Raw genomic sequence first — 27,548 nt, 5'->3', positions numbered from 1 at the left:
CAAATTTTGACAACACGTATTTTTATTTTCATTTAGTTCAAAATATTTTAAAGTTTACCTTGAGATTTCTTCTTTGACTCATGTGTTATTAGGTATATTGTTCAACCTCCAAGTAGTTGGGGATTTTTCCTGTTATCTTTCTGTCATTGATTTCTAGTTTTCATTCCATTGTGGTCTGAGGGCAGACATAGGATGATTTTGATTCTTCTAAATTTGCCAAGTGTATTTTATGACGCAGAATGTGGTCTATCTTGGTGAGTGTTCCATATGAGCTTGAGAAGAATGTGTATTCTGCTGTTGTTGGATGACGTTTTAGATGAATCAGATCCAGTTGATTGATGGTGCTGCTGAATTCAACTATGTTCGCACTGATTTTTAGCATGCTGTATCTGTCTGTTTCTGTTAAAGTAGTGTTGAATAGTGGATTCATCTATTTCTCCTCAAGTTTTACCAACTCTGTAATGTTTCTGTTTGTTACACTTGTCTATGGACTTATTATTTCTTATGCTTTTTAGATTAATGAAGTATTTTTCTTTGTTTCATATTTCCCCATTATTATTTATACATTCTTTCATTATTTTAGTTAAAACATTAGAGATTACAGAACGCTCCTTGAATTATTAGAGCCTTTATTTTGCCTTCATTTTTAAAGGACATTTTCATTAGGTATAGAATTCTAGGTGGGTAGTTATTTTCTTTCAGCACTTTAAAGATGCCATTTAATTTTCTATAGTATTCAATCTTCCTTTTGAGAAATGAGATACAGTATCTATCTTATTGGTGATTCCTGTATATCTTTTTCCCCTCTGTCTGATTGTAAGATTTTCTCTTTATTTTTTGTTTTCAGCATTTTAATATGATGCACTAAGAAATTCTGATTTTCCTTAAAGTAATTTTTCTTGAAGTTTTAAATACTTCTTTCACCCATGGCTTCATTTTTAAAATCAGTTTTTGGAAAATTCTCAGTCCCTATCTCTTCAAATATCACTTCTGCTCTGTTCACTTTCTTCTGTACTTCTCAGCCTCTAACTGCACTTCTCTTAATCCTTTTCCTTACATCTCTTATACTCTTTTTTTGTATTTTTCATTATTTTTCTCTTGTGTTTCACCCTGAATATTTTTAACTGACTTACATTCTAATTCATAAATAATTTCTTCAGCTGTGTCTAATATGTTAGTAAATCCATCTATTGAACTGATACTTTTTATAGATTCCAGTTTTATGATGAAGCTCTATTCATAAATTGACTTTGGAAGTTCATGTTTTTTTTCTAGAAAAATATATATCTTATTTAAATCTTCAAATTGTGTTCCTTGAGTAGCTTTTCATCTAGTAGCTCTTCTCTCCTTTTTCATTTTCATTTTTGCTAATTTTTGTTTTTAAAATTTTGTTTAATCTACTTTCTTTAGTTTATTTCATATGTCTCCTTTTTTTAGTTAAACTTATTTTCTATCATTTTTCTTTTCAAAAATTCATTTAATGCTGTCAATTTACCTCTAAGAACCACATTAGCTGCATCCCAGAAACTTTCATATATAGTATTTTCTATGGCATTTAGTATTTTATTGTTTCTAAAATGTTTTCTTCTCTAACCAATGGGTTAAGTAGACATGTACTTGGTTTTTGGTTTTCAGATATGTGAAGATTTATTGACCATAAATTTACTGCTGATTTATAACCTAACTGCATTTTGATCATAGAGCCAAGCACGTATGTAAAACTAATATTTAAAATGTTCTTGAGACTTCTTTCATGATCTAGTACATGGCCAAATGGTAAAAAAAGTTCCGTGAACACTTGTTAAAAAAATGCATATTGTTTATTGGTTGGGTGTAGTGCTCTCTCTATATATATATTTAATGAACTTTGTTAATTTCATCACTCAAATATTCTATATGCTTACTATGTTGGGGAGGGCAGATCTACCAGTTGCTGAGAGAAGTGTGTTAAATGGCTCCCTACAACTCAGTTCCCCTTAAGGGAATTGATAAGATAGATAGATATATCAATGTCTTATAAATCTGCCAGGATTGCTTTATATTTGCTGAGTCTGTATAGTTAACTACATACCCATAATTGTAATATTTTCCTAGCAGACTGTTTCCTTTTATTAAATTGGGTGATCTTTGTATACTATTAATCACCTGAATTTTTACTTTGTCTTGTGTTAATATTGCTACCTTAGATTTCTGTGTGTTAGCCTTTGCTTAGTATTTTTTTATTACTTAATTTTCAACTTTTCAATTTGGTTTTACTTCAAATGTATATCTTGTAAGCAGCATATAATTAGATTTTATTTTGTTATTCAATGTAATCATTGTAGTCTTTTGTGTGCTTATTCTATTTAAAGATATTATGATTATTGATGTACCTGCATATATTTTTACCATGTTACATTTTGATTTTTATTTCACAACTTTTTCTCTTAAAGTATTTTTCCCTCCTATTTCTCATTGGTGTGAGAAACCATTCTATTTTCCCTTTTATTTACACAAAAGAATATATTTTGTTGCTTTGCAACTTATAGATTACTTATATCCTTTTTGTAATTATCTATAAAATTTTAGCATACTTAGTAAACTATGAATTTCCTACAAAATTTCTGTTGTTAAATATTTCTGTTTTCTTCCCGATCACATCAAGGACCCAGAAAACTTTCTTTCTGTGGACTTTCACCCATTTAACTCATCTTATTCTTTAAAAAATTCCAAATCTAATTATTATTATTTTGTTAATTTAATGGCTATTAAAATTATTAATATTGTTTATCAGTTTCAGTAATTATTATTTTACCTTTCAAAATTTTTATTTTATTTTTAATTGACTACCATTTAATACTGACTTTCACACATTCCCTTCTGTCCTCTTTTCTTATGGCTGAAGTACAACCGTTAGTATTAATAGGATACATTTTAGCAAATGTGAATTGTTTTCATCTATGAAATTCTGAAAATCTCTTTAGTTTGTACTGAAACAATTGTGCATTTCTATGTAAAAACATAATCCTAATCTTTCCTTTATCTTTTATAAAAAATTCAACTTGAATTGGATCATAAATTACAGGTACATTTGGTTACAAAATGCACAGATCAACCCATCACGTAGGTATTAAGCCCAGCATCCATTAGCTATTCTTCCTGATGCTCTCTCTCCCCCTTCCCTGACAGGCCCCAGTGTGTGTTATTCCCCTCACGTGGCCATGTGTTCTTGTCATTCAGCTCCCACTTATAAATGAGATCATGCAGTGTTTGGTTTTCTGTTCCTGCATTAGTTTGCTGAGGATAACGGCTTCCAGCTCCATCGGTGTCCCTGCAAAGGACATAATCTCTTTCCTTTTTATGGCTGCATAGTATTCCATGGTGTATATGTACCACATTTTCTTTATCCAGTCTAGCATTTAGGTTGATTCCATGTCTTTACTATTATGAATCATGCTGCAATGAACATATGCATGTCTTTAGAATACAATGATTTGTATTCCTATTACACATATAATAGGAATAGCATGTTTTGTATTCCTATTTTATGTATATATAATAGAATGATATATATACCCAGTAAAGGGATTGCTGGGCCAAATGGTATTTCTGCCTCTAGATCTTTGAGAAATCGCCACACTGTCCTCCATAATGGTTGAACTAATTTATATTCCCACCAATAGGGTAAAAGCATTCATTTTTATCTGCAATCTCACCAGCATCTGTTGTTTCTTGACTTTTTAATAATAGCCATTCTGATGGGAGTGAGATGGTAGCTGATGGTGGTTTTCATTTGCATTTCTCTAATGATCGGTGATGTTGAGCTTTTTTTCATTTGTTTGTTGGCTGCATGAATGTCTTCTTTTGAGAAGTGTCTGTTCATGTCGTTTCCCCACTTTTTAATGTTACAAAATGCTCCTTTAGCTCAGTGACGTTCATTATTAGCCACCTTCTGAAGCCTACTTCTGTCATTTCAGCCATCTCAGCCTCAGCCTAGTTCCATGCCCTTGCTGGAAAGGTGTTGCAGTCATTTGGAGGAGAAGAGGCACTCTGGCTTTTTGAGTTTTCAGCGTTTTTGTATTGATTCTGATCTGTGTGGGCTTATCAACCTTTGATTTTCGAGGTTGCTCACCTTTGAATGGGGTTTTCCTGGTTGATGTTGTCGGTGGTGCTTTCTGTTTGTTTGTTTGTTTTTCTTTTATCAGTCAGGTCACTCTTCCGCAGGGCTGCTGTGGTTTGCTCAGGGTCTGCTCCAGACCCTAGTTGCCTTGGTTTTTCCCATACCCGGAGGTATCACCAGTGAAGTCTGCAAAACAGCAAGATGGCAGCCTGCTCATTTTTCTCCATCCCAGGAATGTACTGACATGTTGCCTGCCTGATCGCTCCTGTGGGAGGTCTCTGGAGACCCCTGTTGGGAGGTCTCACCCAGTCAGGAGGAACGGGATCAGGGGCCCACTTAAAGAAGCAGTCTGGCTGCTTTTTGTTAGAGCAGGTGTAGCGGGTGTGCTGCATTGAGGGGACCCTTCCTCCAGACCGCCTGAACTCTCCAGAGCCAGCAGGCTGGAAAGACTGAGTCCACTGAACTGCAGCGACGTCGGCCACCCCTTCTCATGGGGGTCTCCGTCCCAGGAGAGAGCAGAGTATTTTCCATATAACCCTGGCTGGAGCTGCTGAAATTCCCACAGGGAGGCCCCACCCAGTGAGGAGGATTGGATCGGGGTCCCACTTAAAGAAGCAGTCTGGCCACGATCTGGCACAGCACCTGTGCTACACGTTGTGGGAGACTCCTCCTTGTCCAGACTGTCTGGACTCCCCGGAGCTGGCAGGCTAGAATGGCTGAGTCAACTGAACCGCAGAGATGGTGGCTGCCTCTACCCACGAGAGCTCAGTCCATCTCAGGCTGACTCCAGGCTGTCACCACTGGCTGGCAAAAATTACAGTGGGCCTTAACCTGTGAGGTGCTGTGTAAACGGGGCCTGCAAAGCAATGCTGGTTGGCTCCCTGGGTTCAGCCCCCTTCCTGGGGGAATAGATGAATGGATCTCCTGCCTTGCTGGGATTCCTTGGGCTGGAGTATGTAAAATTCCTGGGTCTTTGTGTGTGCCTGAGTGGCCGCTCTGCCACGACTCTGCACAGCTCTGTGTGTCGGACCCAAGGCCCCGGTGGCATGGGCTCATGAAGGGATCTCCCGATCTGCGGGTTGCGAAGATCCATGGGAGAAGCATGGTTTTCCGGGTGGTGTCGCACACTCACTCACCTCTTCCCTTTGCTGGGGTGGGGCTTCCTTTGGCTCCGTGCCGCTCTCGGGTGGACCATTTTCCCAGCCTGCTTTTCTTCATTCTCCATAGGTCTAGTTGTCTGACTAGTCCGAGTGGGGCCGAGAATCTGGATATTTTAGTTGAAGGTGCTGAATTCACTGGCTGTTTTCATTCCTCTCCATGAGAGCCGCGGACTGCAGCAGCAGCTAATCGGCCATCTTGGCCCCTCAACCTTATTTTTCTAAAACCTTGGTCCCTAGGCAGCAGTGAGGCACTGTCTTTCTTTCGGGGCCCCACCCTAGTTCCTGACTTTAAGCAAGTACTTGGTTCCTGTCTGCCATCTTGGGTGGGGCGTCTTGGATTTGCCCAGCAGAGGCCAAACTCCCTGCTGATTTTAGACAAAGAGCCCAGTAGGTCAGAGGCTTCTGGCAGTGTCTCTTCTGCTTCTGTTGAGCCAGACATCTCTTTTTAGCTTTCTATTTTTATACCTACCTGTCATGGCTTTGTGTTCAGAGCTGAGAGATCGATCAAAGCATGAACTCATTGAGCTGTCTTGCCCAGAATGTTCTTCCCTATCTTTCTTATTTTCAATTCACTGCCTTGTTGCAGAGGGATTTAAAGAAGCTGTTTTACTTCATCACGCTGACACTGAGTCAAACAGAGCGGGCATTCTTCTCATCTGAGTGACAAATGAGAAAAACAAGAAATAAAGAGCTAAAAGTACCTCAGCTCAGGTTTAGTGGTTGGAAGGCTAGCTGCAGAGCCTGAGTCCCATGCAGGGGTGCAGACCCCCATCTCAGTTTAGTCTTTGGGCCACTCTTGCTGCCAAGAGAAATGGGACACTGAGCAATCATGGCATTTGTCAGAGATAATTCCCTTGCCTAGTTACCCATTGCTTATGATTCTTTGGGCATCTTGTGACTTCTAGAAGGACAAATCAGAGGAGAAAAGGTCTGATCTTCTTTCGTGGCAACAGATTTTAATTTAGATACTGTCATTCACACTTATTCCTCCTGCTTACCTTCCTAGTCCAAATTTCCAGGCCCCCAACATTCCACTGAATTCAATTAGACTGATGAAATGTTCACTTAGCTCTGTTGTGCTCAGGCACCCCCAGGTGGTAGAAGGTGGTTTACAATTAGTCCAGGAAGTGGGGGATCCCCAAAATCATGGATAGATGAGTCACCAGTTATCCACGTGAGAAATACCTGTGAACCCCTTTTTATGTACTGGGCAACTTTCTGGTCACAGTAGAGAGCTGAAAGGCCAATCATTTGATAGAATTTGTTCCTTGGGAGCTTACAGCATAGAAGAGCTGATGTGGTCATCAACGGCCAATATGTGAGGTGGAAAATGACGTAGAAAATTGAACACCCAAAGAAAGATGGAAGAGGATCTGACTGGGTCAGGAAATCAGCCTGGAAACTTGTCAGATTCCTAGAAAAAGTTGATTCAGGCTGAGCTTTGCTGGGGGCTTCAAGGATGAAAAAAGAGGAATAGTTCTAAGAGCAATGTGGGTCCCAAGGTGGTGGTCAGAGGGGCCACCCTGCTGCTGTTGGAGCCTATACATCTGTCCCAGCAGGCAGAGATCACCTCTGCCAGGAAGTCTTTGGAGATGTGGGTGGGGGATGTGTTGGTGAGAGGAGGGGTGTTAGGCATTTTAGCTCTGCCCTGCATGGTGGGCAATTTTGGACATACATTTGATTAATGCCTTATACCCTGTCTGTATAGAGACTCAGTAAATACTGAATTGAACTGACTAGACACCAAAGGCTTATTGAGAAAAAAATTAAGGAAAGAGGTCTAAGTTCAGATTAGACCATTACTTAGAATAAGAATTCAATTTGAAAATCATGGTTGTCATCAAAATATTTTATACTTAAGCATTTTTTTTTGAAATTTGCTTTTCTAAAGATTTTATTTGAATATGTTTCCTCTCATCCTTCTTTGAGTCATGCTGGATACTCCCTCTGCTATATCCATTTATTCATTTAATGCCCATAGAGGACCATGCCAACCCACATCCATCCAGACTTCCAGGCCTAAGGTTCTGGTTGAAATGACACAGAAACCATGGCAATGGCTATGGACAGTCCTGTTTCTAGAAGGTGACCTTCACACACATTCCCACAAAGGCTGCCTGTGCTTGTTTTAAATTCAGGGTTACCAATATCCTTCCATTTCAGGGACTTCAACCACAAGAGTTCTTCTATGTTATCAGGAATTGGAGGTACACCAAAATAATATCAAATATGCAAGGAACTAAAGAGATGCTAATCTCATTCCTGCATCTCCTGGTTCTCTGGCTGGGTAAAACACCCAGCATATTGTTACCTTTGCGATTAAAAAATCCACAGCATTTAAAAGGATTATACCTATGTCTTCGTAAACTAGGCTGACTGAGGTTTAAAAAAAAAACATAAAGGCAATGTTTATCTTTAAATATCAAACATTGTGCGAGTAGATTTAGTGTTCTTTCCTACCCATGAATAACATTCCAGACTGTAATTAATTTATCCATGTTCCTATCAGCACAACATTATTCTGGGACAAAAAGGGGGTGGAGAGTGACAGAGGGGGTAGGAACACTGTTATTTCTTTTGGAAAAGCTTTCTTAATTGGATTTGTGCTCTTTTCATAACAATTTGAAGGTTGTGGTTATTTGTCAACTTCAAGGGCAGCTGTAATGCCCAAACTGTGGGTCTACAGCCAACTGTGTCTCATCTTCCCTGGGTGACTTGAGGGTGTTGTGAATTAGTGCCAATGACCTCAAGACCTGGGCAGAGGCAACCTAAATGACCACATTAATGGACAGTCTTGCTATCCACCAGTCAGGCAGCATTCAGTGGCATTTTTTGGGCACAGTACACAGTAGACCCATGAAATTGATGCTACACAGTTGAGTTTGTCTAATGGAGAAAACAGTCCTTCCCCTAAATCAGGGGTTCCTAATGTGGCAGCCACGAATTGCCTAGCATATCAGGGGTCTAGAGAGCTCTTGAATTGTAGAACAAATGTTGCACATGTGTGCATTGGGGTAGGTGGGGGCAGGATGGTGGAGGAGAGCCATAAGTTTTTCTCTAATTCCCAAGAAGAATCTGAAAAAAATTAATAACCATTGCTCTAAAATGATAAACAGAACATACATGTCTGACACAGCCAAAAAGCACTTGCAACACAACTAATTAGCAAGGTCAAAGCAATTCAGTGAGGAAAGGAGTTCTCACGTATGCCAAGGGAAGAAACAGCCAGGTAAGGGGCTTTGCGGAAAATAGGTCCTGGAACAGAGTAACAAACCCTACACCTACAGAACCAGGCAAGCCGTTCAGCACAGGAGCCTGCTGAGTGTCCTTGTGGAGGAGAATGTGGAGTAGCGGGGCCTGTGGTAAACTCTGGTTTGCATTTTGTGTAGGAAACAGACAGCATCAGCATCAGTTTCTGCCAGTTGGCTACTCTGCCACAAGTGGGCATGATGTTTCTAGATCCCCTGAATTTTGTTGAAGATGAGAGCTCTCAATTTTTAAATCTTAAAAGTGAATTCAAAATTAAACAAATAGACCCTATGCTTAGAGGCTCAGAGCTGGTCAGGGTGCCCATTGTCATACCTTTGCTGGGGATCTGAGATTTGAAAAAGTCCTGGATCCCGTTCAGTGGCAGGCATCAGCCTGTGCTGTGTAAAGCTGGAAACAGAGGCTAGACCCGTGAAGAAGTGTCTAGAAGGGGGAAAGGTGAGTCATGTACAGTGAATGGAGGCACCTTGGCTGCTGGTCTAGAAGCTCTGTTAGAGGGGCAAGTAGTGGGGAATGAAGTCGGTGAGCTGGAACATCCTGCAGGGCTCCAAACAGGTTGTGGCTGGTTTCTTTTTGGAACCAGAGCAATCCTCTAGGAAGTCTTAGGAGAATGCCAGGAGGCCACACACAGCGCTTGGGAGGGATGCTTCTCATGTATAGCACTTATTCCCAGGCAAAGAGAGTCCTGGGAGGAAACTGACACAGGCTACCTGTGACCAAGCAAATCAGACAGGGAAATGTTGGTCAAAGAAGGAGGACAGAAGAGACTGGGGAGCAACAAATGGCTCTCAGAAGACATGAATGTGTTAAGCCACCCATGTGGGATGGGGATCAACCTGTGGACAGCACCGGCAGGGGCGGGTGTTGACACACCAGATGGTTGGGTGGGGTCTCTTTCAGCATTCTGTTCCCCATCACCTGTCACTGGCGGGGGCAGGATAGGGACTTCAGGACCCCTGGACCCCTTAGACTTTCTCATGGGGGGGAAATAGTATGCTTTTAGCATACAGCAACACTCCGTTTGTGCTCTGCTGCTGCTAAAGAAAGATTGTTTGCCTTTAGGGGTGTGTCTTGCTGAAGATCCAGAAGCCCCAGGGCAATGAGAGTTGTCCCTGAGGATAGTAGAAACCACAGGGTAAAGGAGTGAAAAAGCAACAAAGGGCAGGGCACAATGGCTCACGCCTGTAATCCCAAAACTTTGGGAGGCCAAGGCAGGAGGATCACTGGAGGCCAGAAGTTCAAGACCAGCCTGAGACTCCCATCCCTACAAAAAGACTTTTTAAATTAGCCAAGGCATGGTGGTGTACAACTGTAGTTCCAGCTACTCACGAGGCTGAGCGGGGAGAATGTCTTGAGCCAGGAGTTCGAGGTTGCAATGAGCAATGGTCGCACCACTGCACTCCAGCCTGGGCAGCGGAGTTAGACCTTGTCTAAGAAAAAAAAAGGCAACAAAAGAGGGGCCAAAGGGCAAGGAATGCCCCCAGGCTAACACAGGGGCATCTGGACACCAACTGAAGGGCAGCCAGAGGGAAGAGTGAAGAACTGTCCACATGACCCTTCATCCTAGATGGGTTACACTGCAGATCTGTTCTTTCTGGTAACAGGCTGAGCCTTTCTTCTTCCACTATCCTGTGAGCAGAGTTAGGAACAAAAGCAGGACATTCAACTTTCAAGTTAAGACTTGAGATTTTCCTAAGAAAGGATGAGAAGTGGCTGGAGCTTTGGCTTTGATGTCACATGCAGTGAGGTGGGAGCTCATGGAAAATGAAGATAAACCCACTGAGAGGGGCAGGGAGCCATGCTCGCAACCCATCTAGCAAAAGGACCAAGAAAAAAAGAGGAGGGAAGAAAGAGAAATAGAGACAGAAGTGACCCAAGGACTATATGGGCTATCATTCTGTTATCATCATTATTTCAAGATCAATCATACCTATAAAATGGAGAGAGGCAAGAATGAAAGAGTGAAGAGAGAAGGAAGAAGAAGAAAACAGGAAAAAAAAAAGAGGAAACCATTTCAAGTGCATCAAGGATAACAAAATACACTCTTTCTCATCTGTAATCATGTCTTTTCATTTCAAATAGAAAATAACAACTACAGCATCATCATAATAAAATAATTCATCATATGTGGGATAGAGAGGAAGAGGAGACATAAGAACAGCATCACTTACATAAGCCTTTAGTTTCTGACAGTGCTTCCATTTATACTGTCTTCACCATAACCAGCTGACAGATGGGTAGGCATTGTTCCACACTCTGATGAGAATAATGCTCCCTCCAGCTGATCTGGGCTGCTCCACACATGTTTACCTGGTCTATGAATTGTTACTAAAAGGGTTACACATCAATGTTTGGTGGGACAAACATTTTGCTTCAATCCATTATCCATTTGGAGATGTAGGCAGGAGGATCCTGCATATGTACAGCATGACCTTGAGGAGAAGAATCCAGGGAATTTTCAGATAAAGTTTATGTAATTTTCCTTAAATATTAAAGTACATAGAGTTTGATATGGTTTGGCTGTGTCCCCACCCAAATCTCATCTTGAATTGTAATCCAAATTGTAATCCCCACATGTTGCAGGAGGGACTTTGTGGGAAGTGATTGGATCATGGAGGCGGTTCTTCCATGCTGTTTTCATGATAATGAGTGAGTTCTCACGAGATCTGATGGTTTTATACGGGGCTTTTCCTTCCACTTTGCTCTGCACTTCTCTCTCCTGCTGCCATGTAAAGAAGGACATGTTTGCTTCCCCTTCGGCCATGATTGTAAGTTCCTGAGGCCTCAGCCATGCTGAACTGTGAATCAATTAAGACTTTTTCCTTTATAAATTACCCAGTTTCAGGCAGTTCTTTATAACAGTGTGAGAACAGACTAATACAGAGTTGTTGCAAAACAAAAAAGGAAGGAAAACATGAAGTAGCATAAATAAGATAATAAATCTCCAATAGGCCTACCACTAATAGACAATGTTAACATGGTGGTTGGTGTGCTTCCTTATAGATTTTGGGAATAATGCCTGGCATCTCATATTTACAATTTAAGGCCTTGAGTTTTGTGGGGTTTTTGTTTTGTTTTCTGTTTTTGTATTTTTCACGTAACATGATAATATAAAGATCTCCCCTGTTGGGTTTTTGTTTGTTTGTTTGTTTTGAGTCAGAGCTTCACTCTTGTCGCCCAGGCTGGAGTGCAGTGGCGTGACCTTGGCTCACTGCAACCTCCGCCTCCTGGGTTCAAGTGAATCTCTTGCCTCAGACTCCCAAGTAGCTGGGATTACAGGTGCCCACCACCACGCCCAGCTAAATTTTTGTGTTTTTAGTAGAGACAGGTTTCACCATGTTGGCCAGGCTGGTCTTGAACTCCTAACCTCAGGTGACCCACCCACCTTGGCCTCCCAAAGTGCTGGAATTACAGGTGTAAGCCACTGTGCCCGGCCCCATGTTGTTATAAATTATTTGTAAACATTTTAAGGACTCCACATAATATTCTACTATGTAGAATAATATCATATGTACTACAATTTAATTACCTATATTTTCTATTTTTGGATGTTTAGATTCTAGTTATTGCAAGTAAAAACACAAAGAACTTTTACATGCATAAGGATTTTTCTACAGCTCTGATCCTTTCCATAGAATAAATAGATTTCAGTCTGGGCACGCTGACTCACACCTGTAATCCCAGCACTTTGGGAGGCCGAGGCGGGTGGATCACCTGAAGTCAGGAGTTCGAGACCAGCCTGGCCAACATGGCGAAACTCCGTCTCTACTAAAAATAACAAAAAATCAGCAGGGTATGGTGGCCGGTGCCTGTAATCCCAGCAACTCGGGAGGCTGAGGCAGGAGAATCGCTTGAACCAGGGAGGTGGAGGTTGCAGTGAGCCGAGATCGTGCCATTGCACTCCAGCCGGGGCGACAGGGTGAGACTCCGTCTCAGAAAAAAAAGAAAAAAAAAAAAAGAATAAATAGATTTCACACAGTGCAATTTCATGTCATAGGCTATGAACATTTCAGGACTTTCCAACGTGGCCATGTGGGTTCATTTTGCACCCACACTGTAGGGCAATGCTGGTTCTGCCTGGTGCACAGGACACATCGGTGCACCCCTTGGAGGGCCTCCAATCACCCTCGTCCCCATGAGAACACCGAGGTCGAAGCCCAGGAAGAAGTGACCTGCCAAGGAAGACCATGGAGGCAGTGACCCTAGAGAATGTCTTCTAGTCCTAGGTCAGGAACCTGCCTCTGCGACCCGCCTGCAGAGCAGGAGCCTGGAGCCTGGACGTCATTCCCTAGAAGGTTCATGGGATTGTCTTTTGGGGACTGCCCCTTCTCCTCTTGCCTGCCAAGCTGGTGAGCAACGCTATGAAATTTGCTGGGAAGTCACCTGCATCATTGCATGGTTTGCTCTCTGGACAAGGACGGCTCGGGCTGAAAGGCCCCAAGGACGTTAGGGTGTGCTCGCCAAGGCTCGGGTGCCTCCAGCGACTGTCTGCCGCTCCGGGCCCCCTCCTGTCTGGTCCACAGCTGCACCCCCAGCTCAGGGCTGCACACCCAGTAAGTGGGTGCTTCATAAATGTTTGCCTAATAGGTGTGTGGCCACAGCTGGGGTGCGGGACGAGGCTAGAAAGAGTCGTCGGGAGCGGAGGTTGAGCGGTCTTTGGAGGATTATGTTCAGAGATATTTGAAGGCCCGCACGTCCGAGGGTGGGGTGGTTCCCAGACGGCCTTTCTCCTGGCTGCAGTGGCTTCCCCCCTGGCAACCTCAAACTCCCGCAGGAAGGTAGGTAGATCTGTCCGTTGGTCGGCTTTCTCGATCCTAATGCAAACCTTCTGCCGGCCTTGAGCCTCTCCGACAGGATCTAAAACGCTTCCCTACGCGCGTTGGTGTTGGTCTGGGGTGCAGAGTGTGGAGGACCCGGGGGGGCCGGGGCTGGTCTGGGGTGGTCCCGGGGAACCCTGGGCTGGGCCGTGCGTGTGGGCGGAGTGGGGCGGGACGCCTGGCGGCTCTGGGAGGCCCCGCCCGCCCCCATCCCTGTGCAGCGCTCAGGCCCTTAGAAGGTGCCGCCCCGGGGCGGGGCTGTCTGTGGCCTCAGCGCTCGGCAGGCGCGCACTCAGCTCCACACCCGGCTCTCTCGGCATCTCAGACCCGGGTAAGTTAGGGTCTCCCACCTCCGCGGCCCTCTTCCGGGGCGCAAGTGGCCTAGTCGGGCAACCCCGGGGGGCTCCTGGAACCTGCGTCTCCGGACGCGCAGCGGGCGCGCTTCAGGCTGGAAGCGCCGAGACCCCCAGAGTGGGAGACGGGATAGGATGATCAGCCTCTCCCCTCCTTTCCTTCTGCCATTCTCACTTACTTATACAACAAACGCATAGGAAAGCATCTCACCAACACAGAACAACGAAAACATTCCTCCATTATTAAGTTATAGACATTCTTGTATAGTATTTGGAAAACACTTACATGCAACTTTCAAAAGAAAAGAAAATCAAAACCACTCACGGGACCTGAGTCCCCACTTTTTTTCAAAGACCTTCAGCTTTTTGGGGGGACCAGCTCTTGGGCCTTGGCATCTCCCTGAGGAAAGGGCATGGGACGCGGAGAATATTACTGATATCTGATCTTGATTGTGGTAATGGGAAAAGTGGGAAACTTTAGAAGAAAGTTGACTAAGTAGCAGAGACGTGCGCATGTGCCCAATCTATTGCATAATGCTTTGCCCCCCGGATTTGTCACATTGCTCTATGTGAATTGACAGTTCATTTGAGTCCACATTTAGATTAAGAAGGAGGTTCCAGCTCCATTAAGGAAGGACCTTGTCAATAACCATAGCTGTCATGTATGGTCCAGGTGGTGGGGACTTTGCTGAGTTCACACAGTTGCTTAAATTCAGCCGTGACTCTGATTTCCAATCACCAGGAAAAATCCCTCTGCTTTCTCTGGCCAGTTTCACACAATCATCAGGTGAGCCGAGGATCCATTGGAGGAAGGCATTATCTGTATCCAGAGGAAATAGCCAAGGATATTCAGGTAGGACCTGCTTTTGATAGGTTATTGGAAAATGATTTGTTTTGAAAATAAAGCTCACTTAGAAGACATCAGAGGGACTCATTGCTGTCGTCTTAAATCTCTGAGGGTGAGACAGCTCCTGTGTGGTTTCGCTCTTTCTGGTAGTTGAAAGGAACACTTATTATTCATGCGTTCACGCATGCCTGCCTGCATTCGCTGAATGTTTATTGCACTCCTGCCATATGCCACACACTGTTCTAGTGGCCTGGGATGCAATGAAGAACAACCCATGCAAAGATCCCTGCCCGCAATAGCTTACATTTTGGTGGGAAAGACAAACGTTGAACAATCAACATCACAGTTAAGAAAACTTTATTATATTAGAAGGTGATAAGGACTCTGGGAAAGCGGGAGGAAAAAAAGGTTAAGAGTTTGTGCTCTACTATTAATAGTCACTGACTGCCAAAATTTTTTTTTAGAAATAAGGTGGGTTACACACACACACACGCGCACACACACACACATATATATATAGAGTAAATCTTAATAAACAAAATGAATAACAAAAATATGTTAATAATATAAATATAAATAAATAATATAAAATTTAATATATAAAAACATACTACATTGCAAGAGGTTTTCCTCTGATTACTCAATAATCTATTTCCAGAGCATAGTATACTTTATCAATTATTCACTCACTTTCCCATTGTAGTGGTATTGAATCTAATACTTTGCTTCCCACTTAATTCAGGAAAACCTTATTGAAACATTCTGGGTGCTGGAGTGGGGACAAAGGTGAGCAAGATGGTCTCTGTCCTTTGGGACCTCCTGGGAGAAAATGCCCAGATAAGTCTACAAATGATTAGAAGTTAGAATATGACCAGCACTGTAGGAAAGATATATACAAGGGGTCAAAGAAGGGGAGAGGATTCTGGATCAGGGTCAGACACAGTGTGGATATGAGCTGGCATTTGAAGGGCCAGTAGGATTTTAACAAGGGAATATGGTGGGAATGCCTCACCTACAGCGAGAACAGCAAACATAAAACAAGAGGCCAGGCACGGTGGCTCACGCCTGTAATCCTAGCACTTTGGGAGGCCAAGGCAGGTGGATCGCTTCAGCCCAGGCATGTTGAGCCTGGGCAACATGGTGAAACCCCGTCTCTACTAAAAATACAAAAATTAACCAGGCATAGTGGCATGCACCTGTAAACCCAACTACTTAGGAGGCTGAGGCAGGAGAATCACTTGAACCCAGGAGGCGGAGGAGGTTGTAGTAAGTCAAGATCGCGCCACTGCACTCCAGCCTGAGTGACAGAGCGAGGCTTGGTCTCTAAAATAAAATAAAATAAAGCAAGAGCTAGGAAGGCTGGGGGCTGATTCCATGCTGCACAAAGACCTGGGATATATACTCAGGGTAGATTCCATCATTCTCACTGTTCAGGTGAGGAAACTGAGGCTCCCCAGATTTATGTCATTTGCTGAAGATGAGAGTCCTTCCTTCCCTCCTGATGTGTGACTTCAGCTGTCATTCATTATCCATCCCCAAACGCCCACCCATGTTTTCATATTGAGTTTGATGGAGTCTCCTCACCAGCTCGCTGGCCTGACTCTCTGAGTATTCAGTGTTTATATTTCCATCCTTCACACCCCAGACTCTCTCTCCATCACCCATAGAGAGGTCTGGGAAGCTCCTGGTAAAAGCACCAGACTCAAGCCACACCCCACATCCCCCTGGGAGGTGGCAGGAAACACTTTCCTAATCAGAGAGGACAGTCTGATTCTGGGCCTCTGGACGGTTGCATTCTGATTCCTTGAGCGACCCTGGCCACCTTAGTACCCACTGACTCTGGGGATAGGGGAAGGATAGAAGACCAGACAAAGCCAGCCAAGTGTCGGGAAGCATCTGGTGGCCCTGGGTGGCTTCTTTTCTGCTAGGAGGGAAACATGTTTCCAAAATTTGGACATAGTGTTGTGATAAAGATGAAAACAATAGACAGTTGGTTCCAAGGACAATTGACTCAGAATTCTTGTCTCAATAAGATCATATTCACCAAAATGAGGCTTATCCATCATTGCTTTTACCCTAATTCTGCTTCTTAAACCAAATGAGGCCAAATGATGATGTTAAGACTGGATGCTCTTTCGAAGAAATGCATAAGGAGTCCTGTCGAGCGTGATAAAAAAACCCAGAGTCAACCTAGGGAAGTAAGTTAAGGAGCCCTCTAGTTTATCTAGGATTGACCTGGGGCTGGAACCCAGATTCCTGAGCTCTGACTCCGACATTCCTGTCTCCTCTACTCACCCCTAGAATCTATTCCTTTTAGAAGAAAGCTTGGAGTCAGCCACAAGAACCTTACCCAGTCACTAAAGGCTTAAGAAAGAATGATCAGGAACTGGGGGAATTTGCTAATAATAACAAAAGAATGAGAGGGGTGCACTCAGGGCAGGGGGCTTGAAGAACGGCTCCTCTGTTTACGACACACTCAACAGGGGTGTGAGGTCACAGTGATGAGAGGCCCAAACTTGTGGCCTCCCCGTGAACAAATGCCCTACACATCTCCCCTGCAGGATCAATGGGACAGGGCTCAATATTGGGAGGAAGGCTGTAGTATTTACTTGGCAAGCCTGCTGTCTACAGCCTGCCCAGTTTATGCACGGGTAGGCCACAGTTGGTCTTAGAAATAAAGGCTTTGGAAAATTAAAAAAAAGAAAGAATGAGAGTTTCCCATGCTGGGAAAGCTTCTGTTCTGAAAGCTTCCAGGCTGTTATCAGTGCTGATAGGCGACACAGCCGGAGCACGTGGGAGAAGTCAGAAGAGGTGGTGTGTGCCCAGAGCAGCGAGGCGCCACCCACTGCCCTCTTCTCCCCTGGGTTCAGCTGGGGGCCTTACGGAACTCCAGGGTGCTGGAGGCCCCGTTGGTCTCCATTTGCAGGTGTCTCGCTCAGCGCAGCTGCCCAGAGCCCTGTGTCCTGAGTGATTTCCAGTAGATTAGCAGCTCTGGGTCTAAGCTTTTAAGAAAAAAAAAAAATTGCACTACCCTTCAGTAGGGGCAGCATTCACATCTCACACCCAGGCAGAAGCAGAAACGGCCAGGAATCCACCCCACTTTCTGGGCCTGACAAGGCCACAGTTTGAGAACGTTCAGCACAGGCCAAGCATCAGATGGATTTTGAACATCTCTGGCTCCTACCATTTCTGCCTCCACCATCCCTTTACTCACTGTGCAAGCTACAAAAGCTGAGGGGACAGGAACAAGGATGATTTCTGATGGCATATTTAGGTAAGAAGCCAACCCCCATGTGCATGGATCCAATGCTATCTGATAAAAGTGGCCTATTCCTCAGCTGTTTTGAGCCTGCTTCCTCTGTACAAGGTCCTGGGAATTGCTCTTTTCTATACTAATAATATGTGAGTCAATTGCTAACAGATGACATTTTAGATATATTTTTGGTTGGTTGTTTTTGTTTCTTTTTTTTTTTTTTTAAGTTCCAGGGAACATGTGCAGGATGTGCAGGTTTGTTACAGACATAAATATGTGCCATGATGGTTTGCGGCACCTGTCAACCCATCATCTAGGTGTTAAGCCCAGCGTGCATTAGCTCTTTTCCCTAATGCTCTTCCCCACCCACCTTTCCCCGACAAGCCCCAGTGTGTGTTGTTCCCCTCCCTGTGTCCATGTGTTCTCACTGTTCAGCTCCCACTTATAAGTGAGAATATGCGGTGTTTGGTTTTCTGCTCCTGCGTTAGTTTGCTGAGGATATGTACTTCTGATAGGAGAGATTACTTTTGGCAAGCCATCTCATCTCTAAGGAGCCCCGTTTTCTGAAAATTCAGATTGTTGGATCAGTTGCTCTCCCACTCTGTTTGAGTCCAACTGTCTGAAAGTGCAGCCACGGGGCATGTGGGTGCTTTGGCATCACGTATCATAGAAATGAACCTAGAGAATCTGATATAAAATCCCAAATGACATGCAGATCCAGACTGTCATTTACACCATGCTGACTATTACGGAGACATTGCCAAACTCATTTTGAGACTCGTTACACAAAAATACCATGGCGACCCAGCCTAGCAGGCATTGGGGGTGTGGAGGACATTTAGCAAAAGCAATGCAATAAATTACATGTGAAGTTTTAAAAAAATTCTTTAAAAATATAGGGTTGTCATTTGAAAGGCAGTTAATTAGCTGGACTTAAGCTCTGACAGGAGAATTGTAATTGAAGGCACCAGCGTGTGTGAGACTGGGGACAGCTGAGGTTACACTGAAGACTGGAGAGTTTCTTTCTGCAATTTCTTTTCAGACTGTATCAGAGGCAAACAAGGCCAAAAAAGAAAATGTAAAAAACAAACAAGATTTGAAAAACAGTCAGTGAGATCATATTTCTATATTTTTGCAAAATTCTTCCAGGTACCCTGCAGCACAAAAGGCCATTGGTCATTTTCCTAGGGTCCCACACCACAGCCCAGTGGTTCTCAATCTTGGCTACAAATTAGGATCATTTGGGAGGTTTCTAAAAAGTCTCTGAGTCAGGCAGGAACCCAGACCAAAGACATTAAAATCTCTAGGGGTGAGATCCAGGAACCATTATTTTCTAAAAGCTCCCCCGGTGATTCCAATAGATCACCAAGCAGGGCCTCCAGACCAGCAGTATTAGCACCACGTGGGAATGTGTTAGGAATGCAGATTCCCAGGCCCGCTCCAGTTCTACCAAATCAGAAACTCTGAAAATAGAGCCCAGCAATCTGCATTTTTTTTTGAGACAGAGTCTCGCTGTGTCACCCAGGCAGGAGTGCAATGGCACAATCTTGGCTCACTGCAACCTCCACCTCCTGGGTTCAAGTGATTCTCCTGCCTCAGCCTCCCAAATAGCTGGGAATACAGGTGCCCGCCACCACGCCTGTCTTATTTTTGTATTTTTAGTAGAGACGGGGTTTCAGTATGTTGGCCAGGCTGGTGTCAAACTCCTGACATCAAGTGATCCACCTGCTTTGGCCTCCCAAAGTGCTGGGATTACAGGAGCAATCTGCATTTTAACAAGGTCATTCTAAAGCATTCTAAAGAACAAGGCTGAGGATGGTTTGGGCTTGGGAGGTTTTCAAAGCAGATGTTTTTGGTTGCTTCTTTGGACATAAGAAAGTCCATCTGGATCTAAGTAACAAGCCTTCTCAGTGAACTCACTATTATGAATTAATTGCAGATGTAACTCTTAATTTGCTGTATGGATTTATCAGTTTTAAACCAATTAACTTGTGGATCTTCAAATGTCGCCTGCCATAATTCTACCTTCACATGGTCATGAAGTTGGAAAGACTCTCTAACAGTGATTGGTGGCAGAATTATTTGCCAATTGTGATCATTCTGGGTTTTTGGAAATTACATCATAGTATCAGGTCCAGGTCTGTCTGTTTTCTGGGGCAGGGTTTTATGCATTCATAAGTGGTTTCGGGTCATTTAAAAAGAAATGGTTGAGCGTTGAGTTTGGATCTGTTACCAAACAATTCCTGCCTACCCCGATGGTTAGAATGGGGCTAAATGCTAGTTTTGTACAAGAACAAGGACCTGAATCTCTTGAGCCCAGGCAGCTTAACCCCTGACAGATCTCTGCACAGACTCAAAAGCCTAGAAACCAGGAAAGGCCACAAACAATCTTTGATTCTCATTCATGTCTGATCTCTCCACAACGTAGAGAAGACAGCTGCCATGGTCAGCCACAGGAAAGCCAAGCCTAAACCCCCAAAGCCCCAAATCCTTGGGCAGCAATTTCTTAATGAGGTAGAAAAACCAATAAACTCCTACCCAGGACCACTGAGTGTGCACCTGCCATGTGCCACATGCTGTCAGCCACTCTACACACCTGCTCAGTGATTCAACAGCCCGCAAATGTCAGTGGTGTTTCTCGCTACTTTGGAAAGAAAAAAAAAAAAAACTTGACTGAACAATTCTAAGGAAACTGTCCAGGATCATGTGGCCAGGAAGTAGCAAAGCTAGAATCCAAACCTGTGGCGGCAGTGGAATCCCAAAATCTGAGCTCTTTCTGCTCCTCACTCCTGCCTTCTGAGACTGTGGTTCAGGGTGGGAGATGACTGCCCTTCTGGAAAAGGGAGTCAGTTAGAGCTTCGGAGACAGCTCATTGGCATCTGTTCATTGGAGTAAGCAGGTTATAAAGAGTCAAGCCCCACTGGTCAAAAGGTATTAAGTTCTGGTGGCATCTATTCGATAAACATTCATGGGCAGCTCCTGTGTGGTTGCGTGCCCAGCACCAGGCTGGATGGCAGGGCAGGGATGGGATAAGGGGCCTGGAGATCCTGACCATGATGAGGTTAGCAGGGGTCATGGTGTGCACAGTGCTGATCCAGCCCCATGTATCAGAGCAGGCTTCGGGAAGGAGGTGAGAGCTGGGCTGAATTTTAAGCATGAGTAGGCATTGCTGAGAAGTTTCATGGGCCAAGAAGAAGGCGCAGTCTGAGCTGGAGACGCACAATGTGTAGAGGCTCCGGGGCCAGCAGGGACCATGGAGCATAGGGTCTGGGCACAGTGGCAACAGTGGAATTGGAGAGGGATGCATAGACTCTCAAATTTAGGGCCTGTATCCATGCAGAAGACCAGGAGTTTCACCCTGAAGGCAGGGAGGAGCCAAGGAAGGCCTTCAAGATGGGAACTGCCATGATGAGATTGCAGTCATCAGTGAGAGTGATGCAGATTTTGGAGTGAGTGGTGTTGCCACTCAGCTCAATGAGGCAGGGGCCAGTCTCTGACAGGACAGGGTGGAGTGTTAACTTTAAGGAGCCTGGGGATGGCCAAAGGGAACCATCTCCTTAGCAGGTCACTGGACGCATGGCTCTGGAGCTTAAAGAGAGCCCTGGGTCATGGCCATGCAGGTGAGCCTGGAGCAGGTGCAGTCACCCTGGGAGAGAGGAGAGTAGGAAGAGAAGAGAGCAGGTAACAGAACTCTGAGACACAGCCAGAGTTCAGAGATGGGTAGAGGAAGAGGGGCCTCGGAAAGGTGCCAGATGTCTTCAGCTGGTGCTGGGTTCAGGGTATGTTTTACAATTAAACCAATTCAATGAAGAAATAGCTCTGGGTCTAAGCTGGAGAGGAGCTAGGTTTCTGAGGTTATTTGTCCTACACAAGATGATGTGCAATGTCACAGTCCCCATCCTGGCTGGGAAAGACAGCGCCGTCCCGGCAAGTGTTGGAATTTGTCTTTCCATAGCGATTCTGGCCATAAACTGTCTTCCCAAATACATCCTTCACCTGTAGTTACAACAGTCCCCCCGAGGCCATGTTCTACTCCAGGCCATGTTCTACTCAGCTACTTTAAGCTCCTAAGAAGTGAGCAGGGGACAAGCAGGGTGGCTCATGCCTGTAATCCCAGCAATTTGGGGGGCCGAGGTGGGCGGATCCTGTAAGCCCAGGAGTTCAAGACCAGCCTCGGCAACATAGGGCAACCTCACCTCTGCAAAAAATACGAAAATTAGCCAGTCATGGTGGTGCATACCTATAGTCCCATCTACTCTGGAGGGTAGGGTAGGAGGATCACCTGAGTCCAGGAGGTTGAGGCTGCAGTGAGCCAAGATTGTGCCACTGTACTCCAGCCTGAGTGACAAGAGTGAGACCCTGTCTCAATAAAACAGAAAAAGAAAGAACTGAGTGGGAGCACTTACGTGTGATAAGCTCCCAGTGGCCCCCTCTGGCTTGAGTTTGGAATGTGACATCAACAACTTGGCCTCGGAGCTTTTGTTTCCCAGCAGGAACTGGGGGTAGAGGCTGGCATTTGCTCAAACCTAAATAAATAAATAAATAAATAAATAAAAACAAGACCTGTTTTTTTTCAGCTTACCAATGATCTCAAGGTCACCTAGATGGGGTTTCCACAGCAAACCAAACCCCTGACAGAATCTTACAGCTACTTGGAGACAATTTTTCCAATTCCCAGGCCCACTCTGAGTATACAGGGACAGTGATATCAAGATTAAACGATAGGGAAAATGTCACTTTCTGCATAGCCAGAGAGTAGTGAATGGAAATAAAAGGCAATCCATGTACCATTGCTCAATCAAGAGAGGGCATTGTGTAGACCCAAGACGGCACATACCATGGACTAGGGAGCATGTGAGCTCACCCCTCTCACCTGAGGTTTTAAGATTGTGTACGTGTGTGTGCCTGTGTGTGGGCAGGGAGGGAAAAACATAGCACAAGCTACAACACTGGCCTCTTCGAGGGGAGCTCTCTGTGAAATCTCCCTAGACATTCTGAAGTCCACCACGTGACAGCATAGATTTTTCATTCAGATGAATGTAACTGTTCATAGAGAGATGCTCTGTGGTGAAACAGACCACCAATTGCACGTTGCTTCCAAGGGCAACCAGTCTGACTAGTCTTGCATAAGCTGCCAGGAACTAGTTGTATGAGATGCGTGATTTTTTTTAGGTCCATAGGAGGTCAAGGATGGGGATATTTGTCTCCCCCTTGTTTATGGAGTCAGCAGCCACAGCAGTGTCCATCTCTGGGGGAGAAGGCAGAGAAAAGAAGTGGGTGTTCACCATGGGTTGTATACAAACATTGGAAGCAAGGGAATGCACACACCCAGCACCGCAAGTGAGCCACAAAAGCACAGTCATGAGGAAAAAGAAGGAGACTGAATGAGTTGGATGACCTGATACCATTTAGGTAAACCAAAATGCACACATGCAACCCCATACGCCACAATATGCAGCAATGCATATTAAAGAAGCTCATTCTGATGGTCACCTATAGGGGTGGAGATTGGAGTGGTGGATGGAAATAGAAGGGAATCAATGTATCCATTCATCTATCAAGAGAAGGCATTGCACAGACCCAAGATGGCACATGCCATGGCCTGTGGAGTGTCAGCTCACCCCTCTCACCTGAGATTTTAAAATTGTATACGTGTGTGTGCGTACGTGTGGGTTTTGGCCAATACGTACTTTTTGATTTGGGGTTGCATTTTTCCTTTAAGAGGTGTGCCTGGGAAGTTTGAGCTGCAGCAGTGGAACCTTAATGCCCAGGATGATCCTGTCTAACACCACAGCGGTGACGCCCTTTCTGACCAAGCTGTGGCAGGAGACAGTTCAGCAGGGTGGCAACATGTCGGGCCTGGCCCGCAGGTCCCCCCGCAGCAGTGACGGCAAGCTGGAGGCCCTCTACGTCCTCATGGTACTGGGATTCTTCGGCTTCTTCACCCTGGGCATCATGCTGAGCTACATCCGCTCCAAGAAGCTGGAGCACTCGAACGACCCATTCAACGTCTACATCGAGTCCGATGCCTGGCAAGAGAAGGACAAGGCCTATGTCCAGGCCCGGGTCCTGGAGAGCTACAGGTCGTGCTATGTCGTTGAAAACCATCTGGCCATAGAACAACCCAACACACACCTTCCTGAGACGAAGCCTTCCCCATGAACCCCACCACTGGCTAAAACTGGACACATCCTGCCTGGCAACCTGATTTTCTAATCACATTCCTCTCATACTCTTTATTGTGATGGATACCACTGGATTTCTTTTTGGCTGTTGTAAGGGGTGAGGGGTGGATTAATGACACTGTTTCACTGTTTCTCTAAAATCACGTTCTTTTGTGATAGACTGTCAGTGGTTCCCCCATATCTGTCCCTGCCTTGCTAAATTTAGCAGAATCCCTGAGGACATGGCCTCTGAGAATAGCAGCTGCATTTCCCAGACTCCCTTGCAGCTAGCAAGGTTGTGTGACTAAGCCCTGGCCAGTAGGCATGGAAGTGAAGACTGTAATGTCCAAGTAATCCTTGGAAAGAAAAGAACGTGCCCTTAACTAACTTTGTCCTGCTTCCCAGTGGCTGGATGTGGAGGAGGTGGAGAGCAGTTATGAGACTGGGAAAGAACGGGGCACTCAAAGAGCCACACACATCTGGGCCTGGGCGACGTGGATCCTCCTTACCACCCACCAGGCCAGATTTACAGGAGAGAGAAATCCACTCCACTCTTCCTTAAGCCACTGTTATTCTGATCTCTGTTAAGGTCGCAGAATCAATGCCCTTACTGATACACCTACCTTATAGGACTGAACCTAAAGGCATGACATTTCCATACTTGTCACAAGCACACACTGATTCTGCCCTTGTCACTTCTGTGCTCACTCTTGTGGCTCTATCCTCCTCCTGCCCTTCCGCCTTCCACTCCTCCCTTGCACCCATCCTGCACACATCTCCCTGAAAACACACAGGCACATACACTCATATACATAGACACACATACACACCTCAATCTAGAAAGAACTTGCTTTGTACAGGGCTGAGATGGAGGAGAAAAAAATGCCCCCTTCAGAATGCATACCAAGGGGAAGGTGCTCGGTCACTGTGGGAGCAGGGAAAGGTGCCCCCACTCCCCGAGAGCCAGGGGAAGGAGTGGCTCTGGGCAGAGAGGGACACATAGCACTGGGGTGGCAGGTCCTTTTGAGGTGATGGGCCGGTTTTGTGAGATGAATTGTATCCCCCAAAAAGACAGGTACCTTCAATGTGACCTAATTGGGAAATAGAGTCTTTGCAGATGATCTAGTTGAGATGAGGTCATTGGGGTGGGCCCTCACCCAATATGACTGGAGTCCTTATCGGAAGAGGGAAATTCAGACACAGATGCATAGGGAGGACACCATGCCGTGACAGAGGCAGAGGGTGCAGTGACACAGCCACAAACCAAGGAAGGCCGAGGATGGATGCGCATCCCCATCCCAAGAAGTCGGGAAGAAGCCAGGAAGGCTCCTCTCCCACAGGTTTCAGAGGAAGCACAGCCCTGCTTGAATTCAAACTTTTGGCCTCCAGAACTGTGAGTCAGTACCTGTTGTTGAAGCCACCCAGCTTAGGATACTCTGGCAGCCTACTGCCATACAGTATTGGGATACTATAGTGAGCCCATGCAGCACCTCTCACCCACCCAGAGATGGAGCTGCTCTGCCTTCCAGCGGGGCACCCGGAGGGCTGCCCCAGCAGATAGAGAGGGCCTCCGTTCTGCCACCTGCCTTGAAAGGGTCTCCAGCTGCCATATGTAGCATTGGAGTCCTCTGCAATGCGACATCCTGAAAGCTCAGCTGCCTGGGCATTCCTGAAGAGTATGGAATATTTAAATGAAACATATTTTTTTAAAACCTGCGCATAAGATAAAAGCAGCCCGTGTGCATCTTGGGCCATCCTCAAATGGACAGACTTGGTCTTGTGAGGTTCCAGTCCTTGTTTCACATAATAAACACTGGCATGGCTCAGCCCCTGAGTTACCACAGTCCTTGAGATGAGTGGTTCTTTGGGTTACAAAGTCCTCTGAAAGTCTAGTGAGAGCTGTGATCTTTGCCCCACCCGAATAATGCATATGGACACCACACCTTGCCTGCCGTGTCCAGGATTCATGACCAGTAGCAGCCCAGCTATGCCTGCCACGTCTCACGGCCCCTGTGTAAGCCAGACCCTTCTTAGGCAGTTGCATATTCCCAGACTGAGGCAGGGCAGGTTTGCAGAGAGAGACCCAGAGTGCACGTGACCCGCAGTGTGATCCCTGGCACGCACTGACTTTGATATTCCAGGCACACGGACTGGCTATTTATCACCACTTCTTTTTCCCCACTAAGATTCCTGTGCCTTTTAAGGCAGAGGGAGATCCCTATGGCGTTAGTCTTCCCAGGCCTTAAAGGGCCCTTGTCTTCACTCACAAACCTCTTATCTCTTCTTCTCCTTCCTCTACATTTTAAAGGGGGAGAGGGAAAAGTAACCGGGAGACAAATTGAGCCACATATTTTCAGACACTTGTTACCATATTTTAAAATCTGGCTTCACATACACAGAGTCTTTGCTATGCACCATGTACTGTTCTAAGCTTCTTAAAAATAGAATCTCAATTATTATTTTGCAGGCAATACTCTATGCATTCATTAGCTAGGACAACAATGCATTTGCAGTAGTGAGATTTCGCTAAAAAATTAAAGCCATTTACTATGATCTGTGATGTGTGTTCTTAATATCACTATGATACTTCTAGAAGATGGTTATCAGTTCTTACAATGCTTTGATGAGGCAGCCCCACGGACTTGGGAATAAGGAAAGTAAGATTGCATGTGGATAATTAAACTCTGCCATCAACACACAGCGTGTCAGAACAGAGAGATGTGGGTCCCTCTGATGTCTGCAGATAGAAAGCAAGTGAAGCCCTAGGTGGAGACAATGGCGAACAGTGGCACCTCCTGCCTTGTAAAGGGGAGGCTGCTGTCAACTCCTCGCATTTGCAGCCAGCAGCGAATATGGGCACAGTCTAGACGGAGCAGGGAATGTGGACACCATCTAGACAGAGCAGGGAGTATGGGCACCGTCTGGATGGAGCAGGGAATGTGGGCACTGTCTAGACAGAGCAGGGAATGTGAGCACCGTCCAGACAGAGCAGGGAATGTGGGCACCGTCCGGACGGAGCAGGGAATGTGGGCACTGTCTAGACAGAGGAGGGAATGTGGGCACCGTCCAGATGGAGCAGGGAATGTGGGCACCATCTGGACAGAGCAGGGAATGTGGGCACCGTCCGGACGGAGCAGGGAATGTGGGCACCGTCCGGACGGAGCAGGGAATGTGGGCACCGTCCGGATGGAGCAGGGAATGTGGGCACCGTCCGGACGGAGCAGGGAATGTGGGCACCATCTAGACAGAGCAGGGAATGTGGGCACTGTCTGGACGGAGCAGGGAATGTGGGCACCATCTAGACACAGCAGGGAATGTGGGCACTGTCTGGACGGAGCAGGAAATGTGGGCACCGTCCAGACACAGCAGGGAATGTGGGCACCTTCCGGACGGAGGAGGGAATGTGGGCACTGTCCGGACAGATCAGGGAATGTGGGCACCGTCCAGACAGAGCAGGGAATGTGGGCACCGTCTGGACAGAGCAGGGAATGTGGGCACCATCCAGATGGAGCAGGGAATGTAGGCACTGTCTGGACAGATCAGGGTATGTCGGCACCATCTAGACAGAGCAGGGAATGTGGGCACCAT

At 45.5% G+C, this 27,548-nt stretch overlaps 1 protein-coding gene and 1 non-coding gene across 10 annotated transcripts in view, besides 5 other annotated features; both read left to right on the top strand.

Moving 5' to 3' along the window:
- KCNE1 (potassium voltage-gated channel subfamily E regulatory subunit 1) overlaps window positions 1-26,515 on the top strand; it is a 65,523-nt gene extending 39,008 nt beyond the window's left edge. For 2 of the 9 annotated variants that reach the window (XM_047440764.1, NM_001270403.2), the window contains 2 exons: window positions 14,467-14,549; window positions 23,519-26,515. In XM_047440764.1, the coding sequence (XP_047296720.1) occupies window positions 23,560-23,958 (399 nt within the window). In that variant the 5' untranslated portion in view covers window positions 14,467-14,549; window positions 23,519-23,559 and the 3' untranslated portion in view covers window positions 23,959-26,515. Of the gene's footprint in view, window positions 1-13,264; window positions 13,305-13,602; window positions 13,675-14,438; window positions 14,550-17,393; window positions 17,818-23,518 lie in introns of those variants that run through there. The other 7 variants (NM_000219.6, NM_001270402.3, NM_001270405.3 and 4 more) reach the window with 6 other exon arrangements.
- Window positions 12,536-13,396: an enhancer, noted in NCBI's record as "H3K4me1 hESC enhancer chr21:35832105-35832965 (GRCh37/hg19 assembly coordinates)". NCBI's record gives its function as "activates a minimal SCP1, AML or CMV promoter by ChIP-STARR-seq in naive H9 embryonic stem cells {active_cell/tissue: H9 hESC(naive)}" and the evidence as "EXISTENCE:reporter gene assay evidence [ECO:0000049][PMID:30033119]".
- Window positions 13,397-14,258: an enhancer, noted in NCBI's record as "H3K4me1 hESC enhancer chr21:35831243-35832104 (GRCh37/hg19 assembly coordinates)". NCBI's record gives its function as "activates a minimal SCP1, AML or CMV promoter by ChIP-STARR-seq in naive H9 embryonic stem cells {active_cell/tissue: H9 hESC(naive)}" and the evidence as "EXISTENCE:reporter gene assay evidence [ECO:0000049][PMID:30033119]".
- Window positions 16,898-17,398: an enhancer, noted in NCBI's record as "H3K4me1 hESC enhancer chr21:35828103-35828603 (GRCh37/hg19 assembly coordinates)". NCBI's record gives its function as "activates a minimal SCP1, AML or CMV promoter by ChIP-STARR-seq in naive H9 embryonic stem cells {active_cell/tissue: H9 hESC(naive)}" and the evidence as "EXISTENCE:reporter gene assay evidence [ECO:0000049][PMID:30033119]".
- LOC124900475 (small nucleolar RNA SNORA11) lies at window positions 16,966-17,093 on the top strand. The gene has a single exon (XR_007067948.1). It is a non-coding gene; the product is annotated as a small nucleolar RNA SNORA11 (small nucleolar RNA).
- Window positions 17,399-17,899: an enhancer, noted in NCBI's record as "H3K4me1 hESC enhancer chr21:35827602-35828102 (GRCh37/hg19 assembly coordinates)". NCBI's record gives its function as "activates a minimal SCP1, AML or CMV promoter by ChIP-STARR-seq in naive H9 embryonic stem cells {active_cell/tissue: H9 hESC(naive)}" and the evidence as "EXISTENCE:reporter gene assay evidence [ECO:0000049][PMID:30033119]".
- Window positions 19,359-19,860: an enhancer, noted in NCBI's record as "NANOG hESC enhancer chr21:35825641-35826142 (GRCh37/hg19 assembly coordinates)". NCBI's record gives its function as "activates a minimal SCP1, AML or CMV promoter by ChIP-STARR-seq in naive H9 embryonic stem cells {active_cell/tissue: H9 hESC(naive)}" and the evidence as "EXISTENCE:reporter gene assay evidence [ECO:0000049][PMID:30033119]".

Source organism: Homo sapiens, chromosome 21 (assembly GCF_000001405.40).
Source record: "Homo sapiens chromosome 21, GRCh38.p14 Primary Assembly".
Lineage (NCBI taxonomy): Eukaryota > Metazoa > Chordata > Mammalia > Primates > Hominidae > Homo > Homo sapiens.
The sequence above is the reverse complement of the archived record's forward strand: the minus strand, read 5'-3'. Positions and strand labels throughout refer to the sequence as shown.